This window comes from Homo sapiens, chromosome 14 (assembly GCF_000001405.40).
Source record: "Homo sapiens chromosome 14, GRCh38.p14 Primary Assembly".
Classification (NCBI taxonomy): Eukaryota; Metazoa; Chordata; class Mammalia; order Primates; family Hominidae; genus Homo; species Homo sapiens.
Genome location: NC_000014.9, coordinates 105,850,095 through 105,865,081, shown reverse-complemented (window position 1 = coordinate 105,865,081; position 14,987 = coordinate 105,850,095). Strand labels below are relative to the sequence as shown.

The 14,987-nt window shown below is 59.4% G+C and overlaps 4 non-coding genes, 2 pseudogenes, 5 gene segments (V, D, J or C) and 1 further gene, besides 1 other annotated feature; all 12 read left to right on the top strand.

Annotated features, from left to right (window-relative positions):
- IGH (immunoglobulin heavy locus) overlaps positions 1–14,987 on the top strand; it is a 1,293,408-nt gene that overhangs the window by 1,014,763 nt on the left and 263,658 nt on the right.
- Positions 230–289, top strand: IGHJ2P (immunoglobulin heavy joining 2P (pseudogene); annotated as a pseudogene). The gene is given in 1 exon segment: positions 230–289. A coding segment is annotated over 1 exon segment (60 nt).
- IGHJ3 (immunoglobulin heavy joining 3) lies at positions 446–497 on the top strand. The segment is given in 1 exon segment: positions 446–497. A coding segment is annotated over 1 exon segment (52 nt), but the record flags the coding sequence as incomplete, so codon positions are not given.
- IGHJ4 (immunoglobulin heavy joining 4) lies at positions 820–869 on the top strand. The segment is given in 1 exon segment: positions 820–869. A coding segment is annotated over 1 exon segment (50 nt), but the record flags the coding sequence as incomplete, so codon positions are not given.
- IGHJ5 (immunoglobulin heavy joining 5) lies at positions 1,218–1,270 on the top strand. The segment is given in 1 exon segment: positions 1,218–1,270. A coding segment is annotated over 1 exon segment (53 nt), but the record flags the coding sequence as incomplete, so codon positions are not given.
- IGHJ3P (immunoglobulin heavy joining 3P (pseudogene)) lies at positions 1,617–1,667 on the top strand (annotated as a pseudogene). Its single transcript is given in 1 exon segment — positions 1,617–1,667. A coding segment is annotated over 1 exon segment (51 nt).
- Positions 1,822–1,886, top strand: IGHJ6 (immunoglobulin heavy joining 6). The segment is given in 1 exon segment: positions 1,822–1,886. A coding segment is annotated over 1 exon segment (65 nt), but the record flags the coding sequence as incomplete, so codon positions are not given.
- Positions 2,712–3,293: an enhancer.
- On the top strand, positions 5,529–5,598 carry MIR4537 (microRNA 4537). Its single transcript, NR_130466.1, has one exon. It is a non-coding gene; the product is annotated as a microRNA 4537 (primary transcript).
- MIR4538 (microRNA 4538) lies at positions 6,840–6,917 on the top strand. The gene has a single exon (NR_130467.1). It is a non-coding gene; the product is annotated as a microRNA 4538 (primary transcript).
- MIR4507 (microRNA 4507) lies at positions 6,907–6,958 on the top strand. Its single transcript, NR_039730.1, has one exon. It is a non-coding gene; the product is annotated as a microRNA 4507 (primary transcript).
- On the top strand, positions 7,510–7,569 carry MIR4539 (microRNA 4539). The gene has a single exon (NR_130468.1). It is a non-coding gene; the product is annotated as a microRNA 4539 (primary transcript).
- Positions 8,865–13,116, top strand: IGHM (immunoglobulin heavy constant mu). 2 transcript variants are annotated; one of them is given in 6 exon segments: positions 8,865–9,176; positions 9,267–9,602; positions 9,848–10,165; positions 10,345–10,677; positions 12,819–12,934; positions 13,108–13,116. In that variant, coding segments are annotated over 6 exon segments (1,424 nt in total), but the record flags the coding sequence as incomplete, so codon positions are not given.

Below are 14,987 nucleotides of genomic sequence, written 5' to 3'. Positions count from 1 at the left end.
CTCCGCCATGGGCTGCATGCCAGAGCCCTGCTGTCACTTAGCCCTGGGGCCAGCTGGAGCCCCCAAGGACAGGCAGGGACCCCGCTGGGCTTCAGCCCCGTCAGGGACCCTCCACAGGTAGCAAGCAGGCCGAGGGCAGGGACGGGAAGGAGAAGTTGTGGGCAGAGCCTGGGCTGGGGCTGGGCGCTGGCTGTTCATGTGCCGGGGACCAGGCCTGCGCTTTAGTGTGGCTACAAGTGCTTGGAGCACTGGGGCCAGGGCAGCCCGGCCACCGTCTCCCTGGGAACGTCACCCCTCCCTGCCTGGGTCTCAGCCCGGGGGTCTGTGTGGCTGGGGACAGGGACGCCGGCTGCCTCTGCTCTGTGCTTGGGCCATGTGACCCATTCGAGTGTCCTGCACGGGCACAGGTTTATGTCTGGGCAGGAACAGGGACTGTGTCCCTGTGTGATGCTTTTGATATCTGGGGCCAAGGGACAATGGTCACCGTCTCTTCAGGTAAGATGGCTTTCCTTCTGCCTCCTTTCTCTGGGCCCAGCGTCCTCTGTCCTGGAGCTGGGAGATAATGTCCGGGGGCTCCTTGGTCTGCGCTGGGCCATGTGGGGCCCTCCGGGGCTCCTTCTCCGGCTGTTTGGGACCACGTTCAGCAGAAGGCCTTTCTTTGGGAACTGGGACTCTGCTGCTGGGGCAAAGGGTGGGCAGAGTCATGCTTGTGCTGGGGACAAAATGACCTTGGGACACGGGGCTGGCTGCCACGGCCGGCCCGGGACAGTCGGAGAGTCAGGTTTTTGTGCACCCCTTAATGGGGCCTCCCACAATGTGACTACTTTGACTACTGGGGCCAGGGAACCCTGGTCACCGTCTCCTCAGGTGAGTCCTCACAACCTCTCTCCTGCTTTAACTCTGAAGGGTTTTGCTGCATTTTTGGGGGGAAATAAGCGTGCTGGGTCTCCTGCCAAGAGAGCCCCGGAGCAGCCTGGGGGGCTCAGGAGGATGCCCTGAGGCAACAGCGGCCACACAGACGAGGGGCAAGGGCTCCAGATGCTCCTTCCTCCTGAGCCCAGCAGCACGGGTCTCTCTGTGGCCAGGGCCACCCTGGGCCTCTGGGGTCCAATGTCCAACAACCCCCGGGCCCTCCCCGGGCTCAGTCTGAGAGGGTCCCAGGGACTTAGCGGGGTGCCAGTTCTTGCCTGGGGTCCTGGCATTGTTGTCACAATGTGACAACTGGTTCGACCCCTGGGGCCAGGGAACCCTGGTCACCGTCTCCTCAGGTGAGTCCTCACCACCCCCTCTCTGAGTCCACTTAGGGAGACTCAGCTTGCCAGGGTCTCAGGGTCAGAGTCTTGGAGGCATTTTGGAGGTCAGGAAAGAAAGCTGGGGAGAGGGACCCTTCGAATGGGAACCCAGCCTGTCCTCCCCAAGTCCGGCCACAGATGTCGGCAGCTGGGGGGCTCCTTCGGCTGGTCTGGGGTGACCTCTCTCCGCTTCACCTGGAGCATTCTCAGGGGCTGTCGTGATGATTGCGTGGTGGGACTCTGTCCCGCTCCAAGGCACCCGCTCTCTGGGACGGGTGCCCCCCGGGGTTTTTGGACTCCTGGGGGTGACTTAGCAGCCGTCTGCTTGCAGTTGGACTTCCCAGGCCGACAGTGGTCTGGCTTCTGAGGGGTCAGGCCAGAATGTGGGGTACGTGGGAGGCCAGCAGAGGGTTCCATGAGAAGGGCAGGACAGGGCCACGGACAGTCAGCTTCCATGTGACGCCCGGAGACAGAAGGTCTCTGGGTGGCTGGGTTTTTGTGGGGTGAGGATGGACATTCTGCCATTGTGATTACTACTACTACTACTACATGGACGTCTGGGGCAAAGGGACCACGGTCACCGTCTCCTCAGGTAAGAATGGCCACTCTAGGGCCTTTGTTTTCTGCTACTGCCTGTGGGGTTTCCTGAGCATTGCAGGTTGGTCCTCGGGGCATGTTCCGAGGGGACCTGGGCGGACTGGCCAGGAGGGGATGGGCACTGGGGTGCCTTGAGGATCTGGGAGCCTCTGTGGATTTTCCGATGCCTTTGGAAAATGGGACTCAGGTTGGGTGCGTCTGATGGAGTAACTGAGCCTGGGGGCTTGGGGAGCCACATTTGGACGAGATGCCTGAACAAACCAGGGGTCTTAGTGATGGCTGAGGAATGTGTCTCAGGAGCGGTGTCTGTAGGACTGCAAGATCGCTGCACAGCAGCGAATCGTGAAATATTTTCTTTAGAATTATGAGGTGCGCTGTGTGTCAACCTGCATCTTAAATTCTTTATTGGCTGGAAAGAGAACTGTCGGAGTGGGTGAATCCAGCCAGGAGGGACGCGTAGCCCCGGTCTTGATGAGAGCAGGGTTGGGGGCAGGGGTAGCCCAGAAACGGTGGCTGCCGTCCTGACAGGGGCTTAGGGAGGCTCCAGGACCTCAGTGCCTTGAAGCTGGTTTCCATGAGAAAAGGATTGTTTATCTTAGGAGGCATGCTTACTGTTAAAAGACAGGATATGTTTGAAGTGGCTTCTGAGAAAAATGGTTAAGAAAATTATGACTTAAAAATGTGAGAGATTTTCAAGTATATTAATTTTTTTAACTGTCCAAGTATTTGAAATTCTTATCATTTGATTAACACCCATGAGTGATATGTGTCTGGAATTGAGGCCAAAGCAAGCTCAGCTAAGAAATACTAGCACAGTGCTGTCGGCCCCGATGCGGGACTGCGTTTTGACCATCATAAATCAAGTTTATTTTTTTAATTAATTGAGCGAAGCTGGAAGCAGATGATGAATTAGAGTCAAGATGGCTGCATGGGGGTCTCCGGCACCCACAGCAGGTGGCAGGAAGCAGGTCACCGCGAGAGTCTATTTTAGGAAGCAAAAAAACACAATTGGTAAATTTATCACTTCTGGTTGTGAAGAGGTGGTTTTGCCCAGGCCCAGATCTGAAAGTGCTCTACTGAGCAAAACAACACCTGGACAATTTGCGTTTCTAAAATAAGGCGAGGCTGACCGAAACTGAAAAGGCTTTTTTTAACTATCTGAATTTCATTTCCAATCTTAGCTTATCAACTGCTAGTTTGTGCAAACAGCATATCAACTTCTAAACTGCATTCATTTTTAAAGTAAGATGTTTAAGAAATTAAACAGTCTTAGGGAGAGTTTATGACTGTATTCAAAAAGTTTTTTAAATTAGCTTGTTATCCCTTCATGTGATAATTAATCTCAAATACTTTTTCGATACCTCAGAGCATTATTTTCATAATGACTGTGTTCACAATCTTTTTAGGTTAACTCGTTTTCTCTTTGTGATTAAGGAGAAACACTTTGATATTCTGATAGAGTGGCCTTCATTTTAGTATTTTTCAAGACCACTTTTCAACTACTCACTTTAGGATAAGTTTTAGGTAAAATGTGCATCATTATCCTGAATTATTTCAGTTAAGCATGTTAGTTGGTGGCATAAGAGAAAACTCAATCAGATAGTGCTGAAGACAGGACTGTGGAGACACCTTAGAAGGACAGATTCTGTTCCGAATCACCGATGCGGCGTCAGCAGGACTGGCCTAGCGGAGGCTCTGGGAGGGTGGCTGCCAGGCCCGGCCTGGGCTTTGGGTCTCCCCGGACTACCCAGAGCTGGGATGCGTGGCTTCTGCTGCCGGGCCGACTGGCTGCTCAGGCCCCAGCCCTTGTTAATGGACTTGGAGGAATGATTCCATGCCAAAGCTTTGCAAGGCTCGCAGTGACCAGGCGCCCGACATGGTAAGAGACAGGCAGCCGCCGCTGCTGCATTTGCTTCTCTTAAAACTTTGTATTTGACGTCTTATTTCCACTAGAAGGGGAACTGGTCTTAATTGCTTGATGAAGAGCAGGAGACTCATTTATGTGAGTCTTTTGAGTGACCATTGTCTGGGTCACTCCCATTTAACTTTCCCTAAAGCCCATTTGAAGGAGAGGTCGCACGAGCTGCTCCACAACCTCTGAATGGGGATGGCATGGGTAATGATGCTTGAGAACATACCAAGCCCCACTGGCATCGCCCTTGTCTAAGTCATTGACTGTAGGTCATCATCGCACCCTTGAAAGTAGCCCATGCCTTCCAAAGCGATTTATGGTAAATGGCAGAATTTTAAGTGGCAAATTCAGATAAAATGCATTTCTTGGTTGTTTCCAATGATGACTGTTATCTAGAGGGAATTTAAAGGCAGGGGTTTACTGCAGACTCAGAAGGGAGGGGATGCTCCGGGAAGGTGGAGGCTCTGAGCATCTCAATACCCTCCTCTTGGTGCAGAAGATATGCTGCCACTTCTAGAGCAAGGGGACCTGCTCATTTTTATCACAGCACAGGCTCCTAAATTCTTGGTCTCATTCTCAAGATGTTTTAATGACTTTAAAGCAGCAAAGAAATATTCCACCCAGGTAGTGGAGGGTGGTAATGATTGGTAATGCTTTGGAACCAAAACCCAGGTGGCGCTGGGGCAGGACTGCAGGGAACTGGGGTATCAAGTAGAGGGAGACAAAAGATGGAAGCCAGCCTGGCTGTGCAGGAACCCGGCAATGAGATGGCTTTAGCTGAGACAAGCAGGTCTGGTGGGCTGACCATTTCTGGCCATGACAACTCCATCCAGCTTTCAGAAATGGACTCAGATGGGCAAAACTGACCTAAGCTGACCTAGACTAAACAAGGCTGAACTGGGCTGAGCTGAGCTGAACTGGGCTGAGTTGAACTGGGTTGAGCTGAGCTGAGCTGAGCTGGGCTAAGTTGCACCAGGTGAGCTGAGCTGAGCTGGGCTTGGCTGCACTAAGCTGGGCTGAGCTGGGCTGAGCTGGGCAGGGCTGGGCTGAGCTGAGCTGGGCTGGGCTGAGCTGGGCTGGGCTGGGCTGGGCTGAGCGGGTCTGAGCGGGGCTGAGCTGAGCTAGGCTGGGCTGGGCTGAGCTGGGCTGAGCTGGGCTGAGCTGGGCTGAGCAAGGCTAGGCTGAGCTGGGCTGAGCTGAGCTGGGCTGAGCAAGGCTAGGCTGAGCTGAGCTGAGCTGGGCTGCGCTGAGCTGGGCTGGGCTGCGCTGAGCTGGGCTGGGCTGAGCTGGGCTAGGCTGGGCTGAGCTGGGCTGAGCTAGGCTGGGCTGGGCTGGGCTGAGCGGGGCTGAGCGGGGCTGAGCTGAGCTAGGCTGGGCTGAGCGGGGCTGAGCTGAGCTAGGCTGGGCTGGGCTGGGCTGAGCCAAGCTGAACCGGGTTGAGCGTGCTGTGCTGGGCTGAGCCAAGCTAGGCTGAGCTGAGCCAAGTTGAGCTTAGCTGGGCTGAGCTAACCTGGGCAGGGCTGAGCTGGGCTGAGCTAACCTGGACTGGGGCTGAGCTAACCTGGGCAGAGCTGAGCTGGGCTGAGCTAACCTGGGCTGGGGCTGAGCTAACCTGGGCTGGGCTCAGCTGAGCTGAGCTACGCTGGGCTGGGCTGGGCTGAGCCGAGCTGAACTGGGCTGAGCAGGCTGTGTCGGGCTGAGCCAAGCTGGGCCGAGCTCAGCAGAGCTGAGCCGAGCTGAGCTTAGCTGGGCTGAGCTAACCAGGGCTGGGCTGAGCTGGGCTGAGCTGAGCTGAGCTGAACTGGGCTGAACGGGCTGAGGCGAGCAGGGCCGAGCTGAGCAGAGCTAAGCCGAGGCTGGGCTGGGCTAACCTGGGCTGGGCCGAGCTGAGCAGAGCTAAGCCGAGGCTGGGCTGGGCTAACCTGGGCTGGGCTGAGCTGAGCTGGGTTGGGCAGGGCTGGGCTGGGCTGAGCTAAGCTGAACTAGGGTGAGCTGGGCCGAGCCAGGCTGGTTTGGGCTGAGTTGAGCTGACCTGGACTGGGGCTGAGCTAACCTGGGCTGGGCTCAGCTGAGCTGAGCTACGCTGGGCTGGGCTGGGCTGAGCCGAGCTGAACTGGGCTGAGCAGGTTGTATCAGGCTAAGCCAAGCTGGGCCAAGCTCAGCAGAGCCGAGCCGAGCTGAGCTTAGCTGGGCTGAGCTAACCAGGGCTGGGCTGAGCTGGGCTGAGCTGAGCTGAGCTGAACTGGGCTGAACGGGCTGAGGCGAGCAGGGCCGAGCTGAGCAGAGCTAAGCCGAGGCTGGGCTGGGCTAACCTGGGCTGGGCTGAGCTGAGCTGGGTTGGGCAAGGCTGGGCTGGGTTGAGTTGGGCTGAGCTAAGCTGAGCTAGGGTGAGCTGGGCTGAGCCAGGCTGGATTGGGCTGAGTTGAGCTGACCTCAACTGAGCTGACCTAGGCTGAGCTGAGCTGAGCTGAAGTAGGCTGTGCTGGGCTGAGCTGGGATGACCTGGGCTGGGCTGAGCTGATTTGGGCTGGGTTGAGCAGACCTGGGCTGAGCCGGGTTGAGCTGAGCTGAACCAGGATGAGCTGGGCTGAGCTGAGCTGGGCTGGGTGGTCCAGGCTGGGCTGACCTGGACCAGGCTGGGCCAGGTTGAGCTGGGCTAAGCCGAGCTGAGCTGAGCTGAGCTGGGATGATCTGGGCTGGGCTGGGCTGGGCTGAGCTGACCTGGGCTGGGCTGGGCTGAGCTGAGCTGAGCTGAGTTAAGCTGAGCTGAGCTGAACTGGGCTGTGCTGAGCTAGGCTGGGCTGGGCTGAGCTGGGCTGGGCTGGGCTGAGCCAGATTGTGCCTGGCTGAACTGAGCTGGGCTAAGCTGAGCTGGGCTGAGCTGGGCTGAGCTGAGCTGGGCTGAGTGGGGCGGGGCTGAGCTGAGCCGGACTGGGCTGGGCTGGGCTCAGCTGAGCTGAGCTGAACTGGGCTGGGCTGAACTGGGCTGGGCTGAGCTGAGCTGAACTGGGCTGGGCTGAACTGGGCTGGGCTGAGCTGAGCTTGGATGAGCTGGGCTGAACTGGGCTGGGTTGAGCTGGGCTGGGCTGAGTTGAGCCAGACTGATCTGGGCTGAGCCGAGCTGGGTTAAGCCGAGCTGGGTTGGGCTGGGCTGGGTTGGGCTGGGCTGAGCCGGACTGGGTTGGGCTGAGCTGAGCTGGACTGGGCTGAGCTGAGCTGGTCTGGGCTGGCTGAGCTGAGCTGTGTTGAGCCAAGCTAGGCTGGGCTGGGCTGAGCTGGGCTGAACTGGGCTGAGCGGAGCTGAGCTGAGCTGGGCTGGGTTGAGCAGAGCTGGGGGCTGAGCTGGGCTGGGCTGGGCTGAGTTAAGCTGGGCTGACCTGGGCTGAGTTAAGCTGGGCTGACCTGGGCTGAGCTAAGCTGGGTTGAGCCGATCCGGGCTGGGCTGGGCTGGGCTGAGCCAGGCTAGGTTGAGCTGGGCTGGGCTGGGCTCTGCTGTGCTGTGCTGAACAGGGCTGAGCTGAACTGAGCTGAGCTGGGCTGAGCTGGGCTCTGCTGTGCTGTGCTGAGCAGGGCTGAGCTGAACTGTGCTGAGCTGGGTTGAGCTAAGCTAGGCTGGGCTGGGCTGAGCTGGGATGAGCTGGGCTGGGCTGGGCTGGGCTCTGCTGTGCTGTGCTGAACAGGGCTGAGCTGAACTGAGCTGAGCTGGGCTGAGCTGAGCTCTGCTGTGCTGTGCTGAGCAGGGCTGAGCTGAACTGGGCTGAGCTGGGCTGAGCCGGGCTGAGTTGAGCAGAGCTGGGTTGAGCAGAGCTGGGCTGGGCTGGGCTGAGTTGAGCCAGGCTGACCTGGGCTGAGCCAAGCTGGGTTGAGCCAAACTGGGCTGGGCTGGGCTGAGCCAGGCTGGATTGAGCTGGGCTGGGCTGGGCTAAGCTGGGCTGTGCTGCACTGAGCTGGGCTGAGCTGGGTTGAACTGTGCTGAGCTGAGCTGGGCTGTGCTGAACTATGCTTAGCTGGGCTGGGCTATACTGGGCTTAGCTGGGCTGGGCTAAACTGGGCTTAGCTGGGCTGGGCTATACTGGGCTTAGCTGGGCTGGGCTATACTGGGCTTAGCTGGGCTGGGCTATACTGGGCTTAGCTGGGCTGGGCTGAGCTGAGATGGTCTTAGGTGGTCTGAGCTCAGCTAGGCTGGGCTGAGCTGGTCTGAGCTCATCTGAGTTGGGCTGAGCTGAGCTTGGCTTTGCTGAGCTGGGGTGGGGTGGGCTGGGCTGGATTGAGCTGGCCTGGGCTGGGATGAACTGGATTGAGCTGGCCTGGGCTGGGATGAACTGGAGGACATGGCACTGGGCCAATCTTCATGATCTTGTTGGACATAGATGGATAGCCTCAGCTGAGTCTACACTGCGTTCCCCATCACACTCACCCTCCCTATACTCACTCCCAGGCCTGGGTTGTCTGCCTGGGGAGACTTCAGGGTAGCTGGAGTGTGACTGAGCTGGGGGCAGCAGAAGCTGGGCTGGAGGGACTCTATTGGCTGCCTGCGGGGTGTGTGGCTCCAGGCTTCACATTCAGGTATGCAACCTGGGCCCTCCAGCTGCATGTGCTGGGAGCTGAGTGTGTGCAGCACCTACGTGCTGATGCCTCGGGGGAAAGCAGGCCTGGTCCACCCAAACCTGAGCCCTCAGCCATTCTGAGCAGGGAGCCAGGGGCAGTCAGGCCTCAGAGTGCAGCAGGGCAGCCAGCTGAATGGTGGCAGGGATGGCTCAGCCTGCTCCAGGAGACCCCAGGTCTGTCCAGGTGTTCAGTGCTGGGCCCTGCAGCAGGATGGGCTGAGGCCTGCAGCCCCAGCAGCCTTGGACAAAGACCTGAGGCCTCACCACGGCCCCGCCACCCCTGATAGCCATGACAGTCTGGGCTTTGGAGGCCTGCAGGTGGGCTCGGCCTTGGTGGGGCAGCCACAGCGGGACGCAAGTAGTGAGGGCACTCAGAACGCCACTCAGCCCCGACAGGCAGGGCACGAGGAGGCAGCTCCTCACCCTCCCTTTCTCTTTTGTCCTGCGGGTCCTCAGGGAGTGCATCCGCCCCAACCCTTTTCCCCCTCGTCTCCTGTGAGAATTCCCCGTCGGATACGAGCAGCGTGGCCGTTGGCTGCCTCGCACAGGACTTCCTTCCCGACTCCATCACTTTCTCCTGGAAATACAAGAACAACTCTGACATCAGCAGCACCCGGGGCTTCCCATCAGTCCTGAGAGGGGGCAAGTACGCAGCCACCTCACAGGTGCTGCTGCCTTCCAAGGACGTCATGCAGGGCACAGACGAACACGTGGTGTGCAAAGTCCAGCACCCCAACGGCAACAAAGAAAAGAACGTGCCTCTTCCAGGTGAGGGCCGGGCCCAGCCACCGGGACAGAGAGGGAGCCGAAGGGGGCGGGAGTGGCGGGCACCGGGCTGACACGTGTCCCTCACTGCAGTGATTGCTGAGCTGCCTCCCAAAGTGAGCGTCTTCGTCCCACCCCGCGACGGCTTCTTCGGCAACCCCCGCAAGTCCAAGCTCATCTGCCAGGCCACGGGTTTCAGTCCCCGGCAGATTCAGGTGTCCTGGCTGCGCGAGGGGAAGCAGGTGGGGTCTGGCGTCACCACGGACCAGGTGCAGGCTGAGGCCAAAGAGTCTGGGCCCACGACCTACAAGGTGACCAGCACACTGACCATCAAAGAGAGCGACTGGCTCGGCCAGAGCATGTTCACCTGCCGCGTGGATCACAGGGGCCTGACCTTCCAGCAGAATGCGTCCTCCATGTGTGTCCCCGGTGAGTGACCTGTCCCCAGGGGCAGCACCCACCGACACACAGGGGTCCACTCGGGTCTGGCATTCGCCACCCCGGATGCAGCCATCTACTCCCTGAGCCTTGGCTTCCCAGAGCGGCCAAGGGCAGGGGCTCGGGCGGCAGGACCCCTGGGCTCGGCAGAGGCAGTTGCTACTCTTTGGGTGGGAACCATGCCTCCGCCCACATCCACACCTGCCCCACCTCTGACTCCCTTCTCTTGACTCCAGATCAAGACACAGCCATCCGGGTCTTCGCCATCCCCCCATCCTTTGCCAGCATCTTCCTCACCAAGTCCACCAAGTTGACCTGCCTGGTCACAGACCTGACCACCTATGACAGCGTGACCATCTCCTGGACCCGCCAGAATGGCGAAGCTGTGAAAACCCACACCAACATCTCCGAGAGCCACCCCAATGCCACTTTCAGCGCCGTGGGTGAGGCCAGCATCTGCGAGGATGACTGGAATTCCGGGGAGAGGTTCACGTGCACCGTGACCCACACAGACCTGCCCTCGCCACTGAAGCAGACCATCTCCCGGCCCAAGGGTAGGCCCCACTCTTGCCCCTCTTCCTGCACTCCCTGGGACCTCCCTTGGCCTCTGGGGCATGGTGGAAAGCACCCCTCACTCCCCCGTTGTCTGGGCAACTGGGGAAAAGGGGACTCAACCCCAGCCCACAGGCTGGTCCCCCCACTGCCCCGCCCTCACCACCATCTCTGTTCACAGGGGTGGCCCTGCACAGGCCCGATGTCTACTTGCTGCCACCAGCCCGGGAGCAGCTGAACCTGCGGGAGTCGGCCACCATCACGTGCCTGGTGACGGGCTTCTCTCCCGCGGACGTCTTCGTGCAGTGGATGCAGAGGGGGCAGCCCTTGTCCCCGGAGAAGTATGTGACCAGCGCCCCAATGCCTGAGCCCCAGGCCCCAGGCCGGTACTTCGCCCACAGCATCCTGACCGTGTCCGAAGAGGAATGGAACACGGGGGAGACCTACACCTGCGTGGTGGCCCATGAGGCCCTGCCCAACAGGGTCACCGAGAGGACCGTGGACAAGTCCACCGGTAAACCCACCCTGTACAACGTGTCCCTGGTCATGTCCGACACAGCTGGCACCTGCTACTGACCCTGCTGGCCTGCCCACAGGCTCGGGGCGGCTGGCCGCTCTGTGTGTGCATGCAAACTAACCGTGTCAACGGGGTGAGATGTTGCATCTTATAAAATTAGAAATAAAAAGATCCATTCAAAAGATACTGGTCCTGAGTGCACGATGCTCTGGCCTACTGGGGCGGCGGCTGTGCTGCACCCACCCTGCGCCTCCCCTGCAGAACACCTTCCTCCACAGCCCCCACCCCTGCCTCACCCACCTGCGTGCCTCAGTGGCTTCTAGAAACCCCTGAATTCCCTGCAGCTGCTCACAGCAGGCTGACCTCAGACTTGCCATTCCTCCTACTGCTTCCAGAAAGAAAGCTGAAAGCAAGGCCACACGTATACAGGCAGCACACAGGCATGTGTGGATACACATGGACAGACACGGACACACACAAACACATGGACACACAGAGACGTGCTAACCCATGGGCACACACATACACAGACATGGACCCACACACAAACATATGTGGACACACATGTACAAACATGCACAGGCACACAAAGAGAACACTGACTACAGGCACACACACACACGGGCACACACATGGATATGTGCACACATGGACACATACATGTGCAGGACATGCACACACACAGACACACTAGCACAGAGGCATACACACACAGACACACACATTCACAAACACACATGTGCATGCAAACACACACACATGTACAGACACAAGTACATGGACACATGCACACCCAGAGACACACTGACACAGACACACAGGAGCATGTGATACACTAACACGTGGACACACACGTCTACCCACAGGCACACAACAGATGGACACGCGTACACAGACATGCACACACCCACAGGCACAACACGTGCGCATGCCGGCCGGCCCCCGCCAACATTCTCCCAGGGCCCTGCCGGATACTCTGTCCCTGCAGCAGTTTGCTCCCTGCGCTGTGCTGGCACCGGGGCTTTGGGCCCAGGCTCTGCTTGTCCTTCTGTCTCTGCTTGGAGGTGCTGCCATGGCACCCAGCTTGTGCTCTGCCTGGGGAGCGGAGGCCCCAGGGATAGCATGTGACCCCTGCTGAGGCCAGGCTCCTGATGAAGGCAGCAGATAGCCCCCACACCCACCGGTGAGCAGAACCAGAGCCTGTGCCATGTGCTGAGAGCAGGCAGTGACTAAGCATATGGGCCCAGAGGGCAGAGTGGCTGCCCTGGGCAGCTGCTCCTCTTAGCAGGAGGCCTCAGGAGATGAGCTAGAGCAAGTCTGCCCCTGCAAATACCACCTGCTCCCCAACCCACAGCAGGGAGCAGGCGAGGTCAGACAGCAGCAGCCCGGGAAGGACCGAGCCCCAGCAGGGAAGGCAGGGCCCGAGTGAGGTCTCCACACCCAACGCACAGTGCTGTCTCTAACTGGGGCCACCTCCGAGTCCCCGCCACACTCTTGGCCCTTTGGAGTCCTGGGCTCCAGGTGTCTCCCAAGGGCCCATCTGTGCAGGGGATGCAACCCCCCGAATGTCCTCATCCCACTGTGGAGCTCAGGTCTCTGTCTGCTCCCTGGGTCCTGGCAGGGTAGGACAAGTCCGCCAGGATGTCCCCATGCAGACTCTGCTCCAAGAGGGAGCTGGAGAGTCAGGGCCTTGGTGAGGGAGTCAGGATCGGGTTCCCCCCAGCTCAGTCCTCCCACCTGCCAGCCCCCACAGCACAGGGCAGGGCCACACCCCCTGCTTCCCCCTCCAGGAGAGTCAGGACATGCTGGCCGCTGCTCCGCTGGGGCCCCGCCCTCCAGCCCCCACCTTGGTCTGTGTGCTGCATCCCCCACGCTCTCTCTGCCACCCCAGGACTCTGAGGAAAAGACCTCAGAGTCCCAGCCCTGCCCAGTCTCGGCCTGTGCCCCCGCTGCATCAGGCTTTCAGGGGCCCAGCCCATGCCCTGGGCAGTGCCCGAGCCCCCCTGCACTTGCTCTCCCCACCCCTGGGTGCAGCACAGCCTAGGGGCCAAGGGTGGGCCTAGAGGATGGGCCCCGGGGGGGCTTTGCTGGGTGCCACCCCAGCCTGACCCTATTCCCCCGTGCTGTGTCTCCTGCAGAGGGGGAGGTGAGCGCCGACGAGGAGGGCTTTGAGAACCTGTGGGCCACCGCCTCCACCTTCATCGTCCTCTTCCTCCTGAGCCTCTTCTACAGTACCACCGTCACCTTGTTCAAGGTAGCACGGCTGTGGCACAGGGAGGAGGGTGCAGGGCGAGTGTGGGGCCCAGGGAGCAGCCTGGGCTGGACGTCTAGCCCGGAGGCCCCCACACCACCCCACTGGGTCATCTCTGCCCCGGCTCCCTTCCCGACCACGGGGAAAGCATTTCACACTGTCTCTGTTGCCTGTAGGTGAAATGATCCCAACAGAAGAACATCGGAGACCAGAGAGAGGAACTCAAAGGGGCGCTGCCTCCGGGTCTGGGGTCCTGGCCTGCGTGGCCTGTTGGCACGTGTTTCTCTTCCCCGCCCGGCCTCCAGTTGTGTGCTCTCACACAGGCTTCCTTCTCGACCGGCAGGGGCTGGCTGGCTTGCAGGCCACGAGGTGGGCTCTACCCCACACTGCTTTGCTGTGTATACGCTTGTTGCCCTGAAATAAATATGCACATTTTATCCATGAAACTGCTTTCTGGTGAGGGTTTTTGTTTCTTTTTCAAAACTTTCCTGCTACATGGGCATCTCAAGGGGGACCCCAGTTCCAAAGGGAGCTGTGGAAAAGAGCGCTGGGTCAGCCAGCGCAGGGGGTTTCGAGGAAAGCCACGTGCCCAGGAAAGGGGCCGCAGAAGCAGGTGGGCCAGACTCAGACTCGGGGCATGCCCAGCCTGATGGAAGGAAGGGGACTGAGCAGGAGAGGGTTCCAGGCCTGGTCCTCCAAGCACAGCCTGAATTGAGAGACTGGGGCTCAGGCCTCGGGGGCCTCTGTGTGTGCTCCACATGCCTACAACTGCCCGGGTCACCTTGCCACCCTTCCCAGCAAGCCCAGACAGTTCTTGGCCTTGCCCCAAACCTTCATGATGTGTGGTGCACGCCACCGGGATCCAGGAGGTGCAGGCTGAGCCCTCGAGAGCATGTGGGCCTCACCGGGATCCAGGAGGTGCAGGCTGAGCCCTCGAGAGCATGTGGGCCTGTCTGCACAGTGTGGGGGCCTTGCACTCCACAGGAGCACAGGGGTGGGGTAGCAGTCGCGCCCGTGGCAGGGGAGTGGAAGTTGGAGCAAAAGTTTCAGGTGAACGAGTGTCTTAGTCTAATTGGGCAGCTATCACAAAACACTATCGGCTGCAAAGCTTGAGCAACAGACATTTGCCTCCCACAGCGCTGGAGGCTGAAAGTCTAAGATCAAGGCGCCGGCAACTTCAACGTCTGGCGAGGGCCAATTCCCAGCTCAGAGACGCGCCTCCTCACTGCATCCTCGCGCAGCCGAAGATGGTGAAGGAGCTCTCAGGGTCTCTGTCATACAGGCACTAAGCCCGTCACGAGGGTCTCTCTCATACAGGCACTAAGCCCGTCACGAGGGTCTCTCTCATACAGGCACTAAGCCCGTCACGAGGGTCTCTCTCATACAGGCACTAAGCCCGTCACGAGGGTCTCTCTCATACAGGCACTAAGCCCGTCACGAGGGTCTCTCTCATACAGGCACTAAGCCCGTCACGAGGGTCTCTCTCATACAGGCACTAAGCCCGTCACGAGGGTCTCTCTCATACAGGCACTAAGCCCGTCACGAGGGTCTCTCTCATACAGGCACTAAGCCCGTCACGAGGGTCTCTCTCATACAGGCACTAAGCCCGTCACGAGGTCCTCATCATTGCCCAGATGCTAGGGCTCCCAGTGCCATCCCCTTGTGGATGAGGATGGGGGGCGTGACCATGTCGTCCTTAGAAGCCGTTAGGGAATGCATAGTGGGGAGGACAAGTCTCTGCCATCACCCTGAAGATGGGCAGGTGGTGGCCAGGCTTGGGGCAGTGCCGAAAAATGACTCCCCAGGTAGGTGGGAGCAGGATCAAAGAGCAGGGGATTTTTTCAGAGATGGCAGCCAAGCCAAAGTTGGGGGCTCATGCCAGGAGGCTCACTTGGCCATGGTGCAGTCACCCAGGGGTGACCCACAGTCCATGGCAAAGTCAAGGACAGCAGTGGCTGTGAGACCAGGGTGGAGGCAGGTGGCTGGGGGGAGAGGACCAGGCTGGAAGGACTGGGCAGACCCCAAGGCCATAGAAGTGTCCTAGAGGAAGCATCCA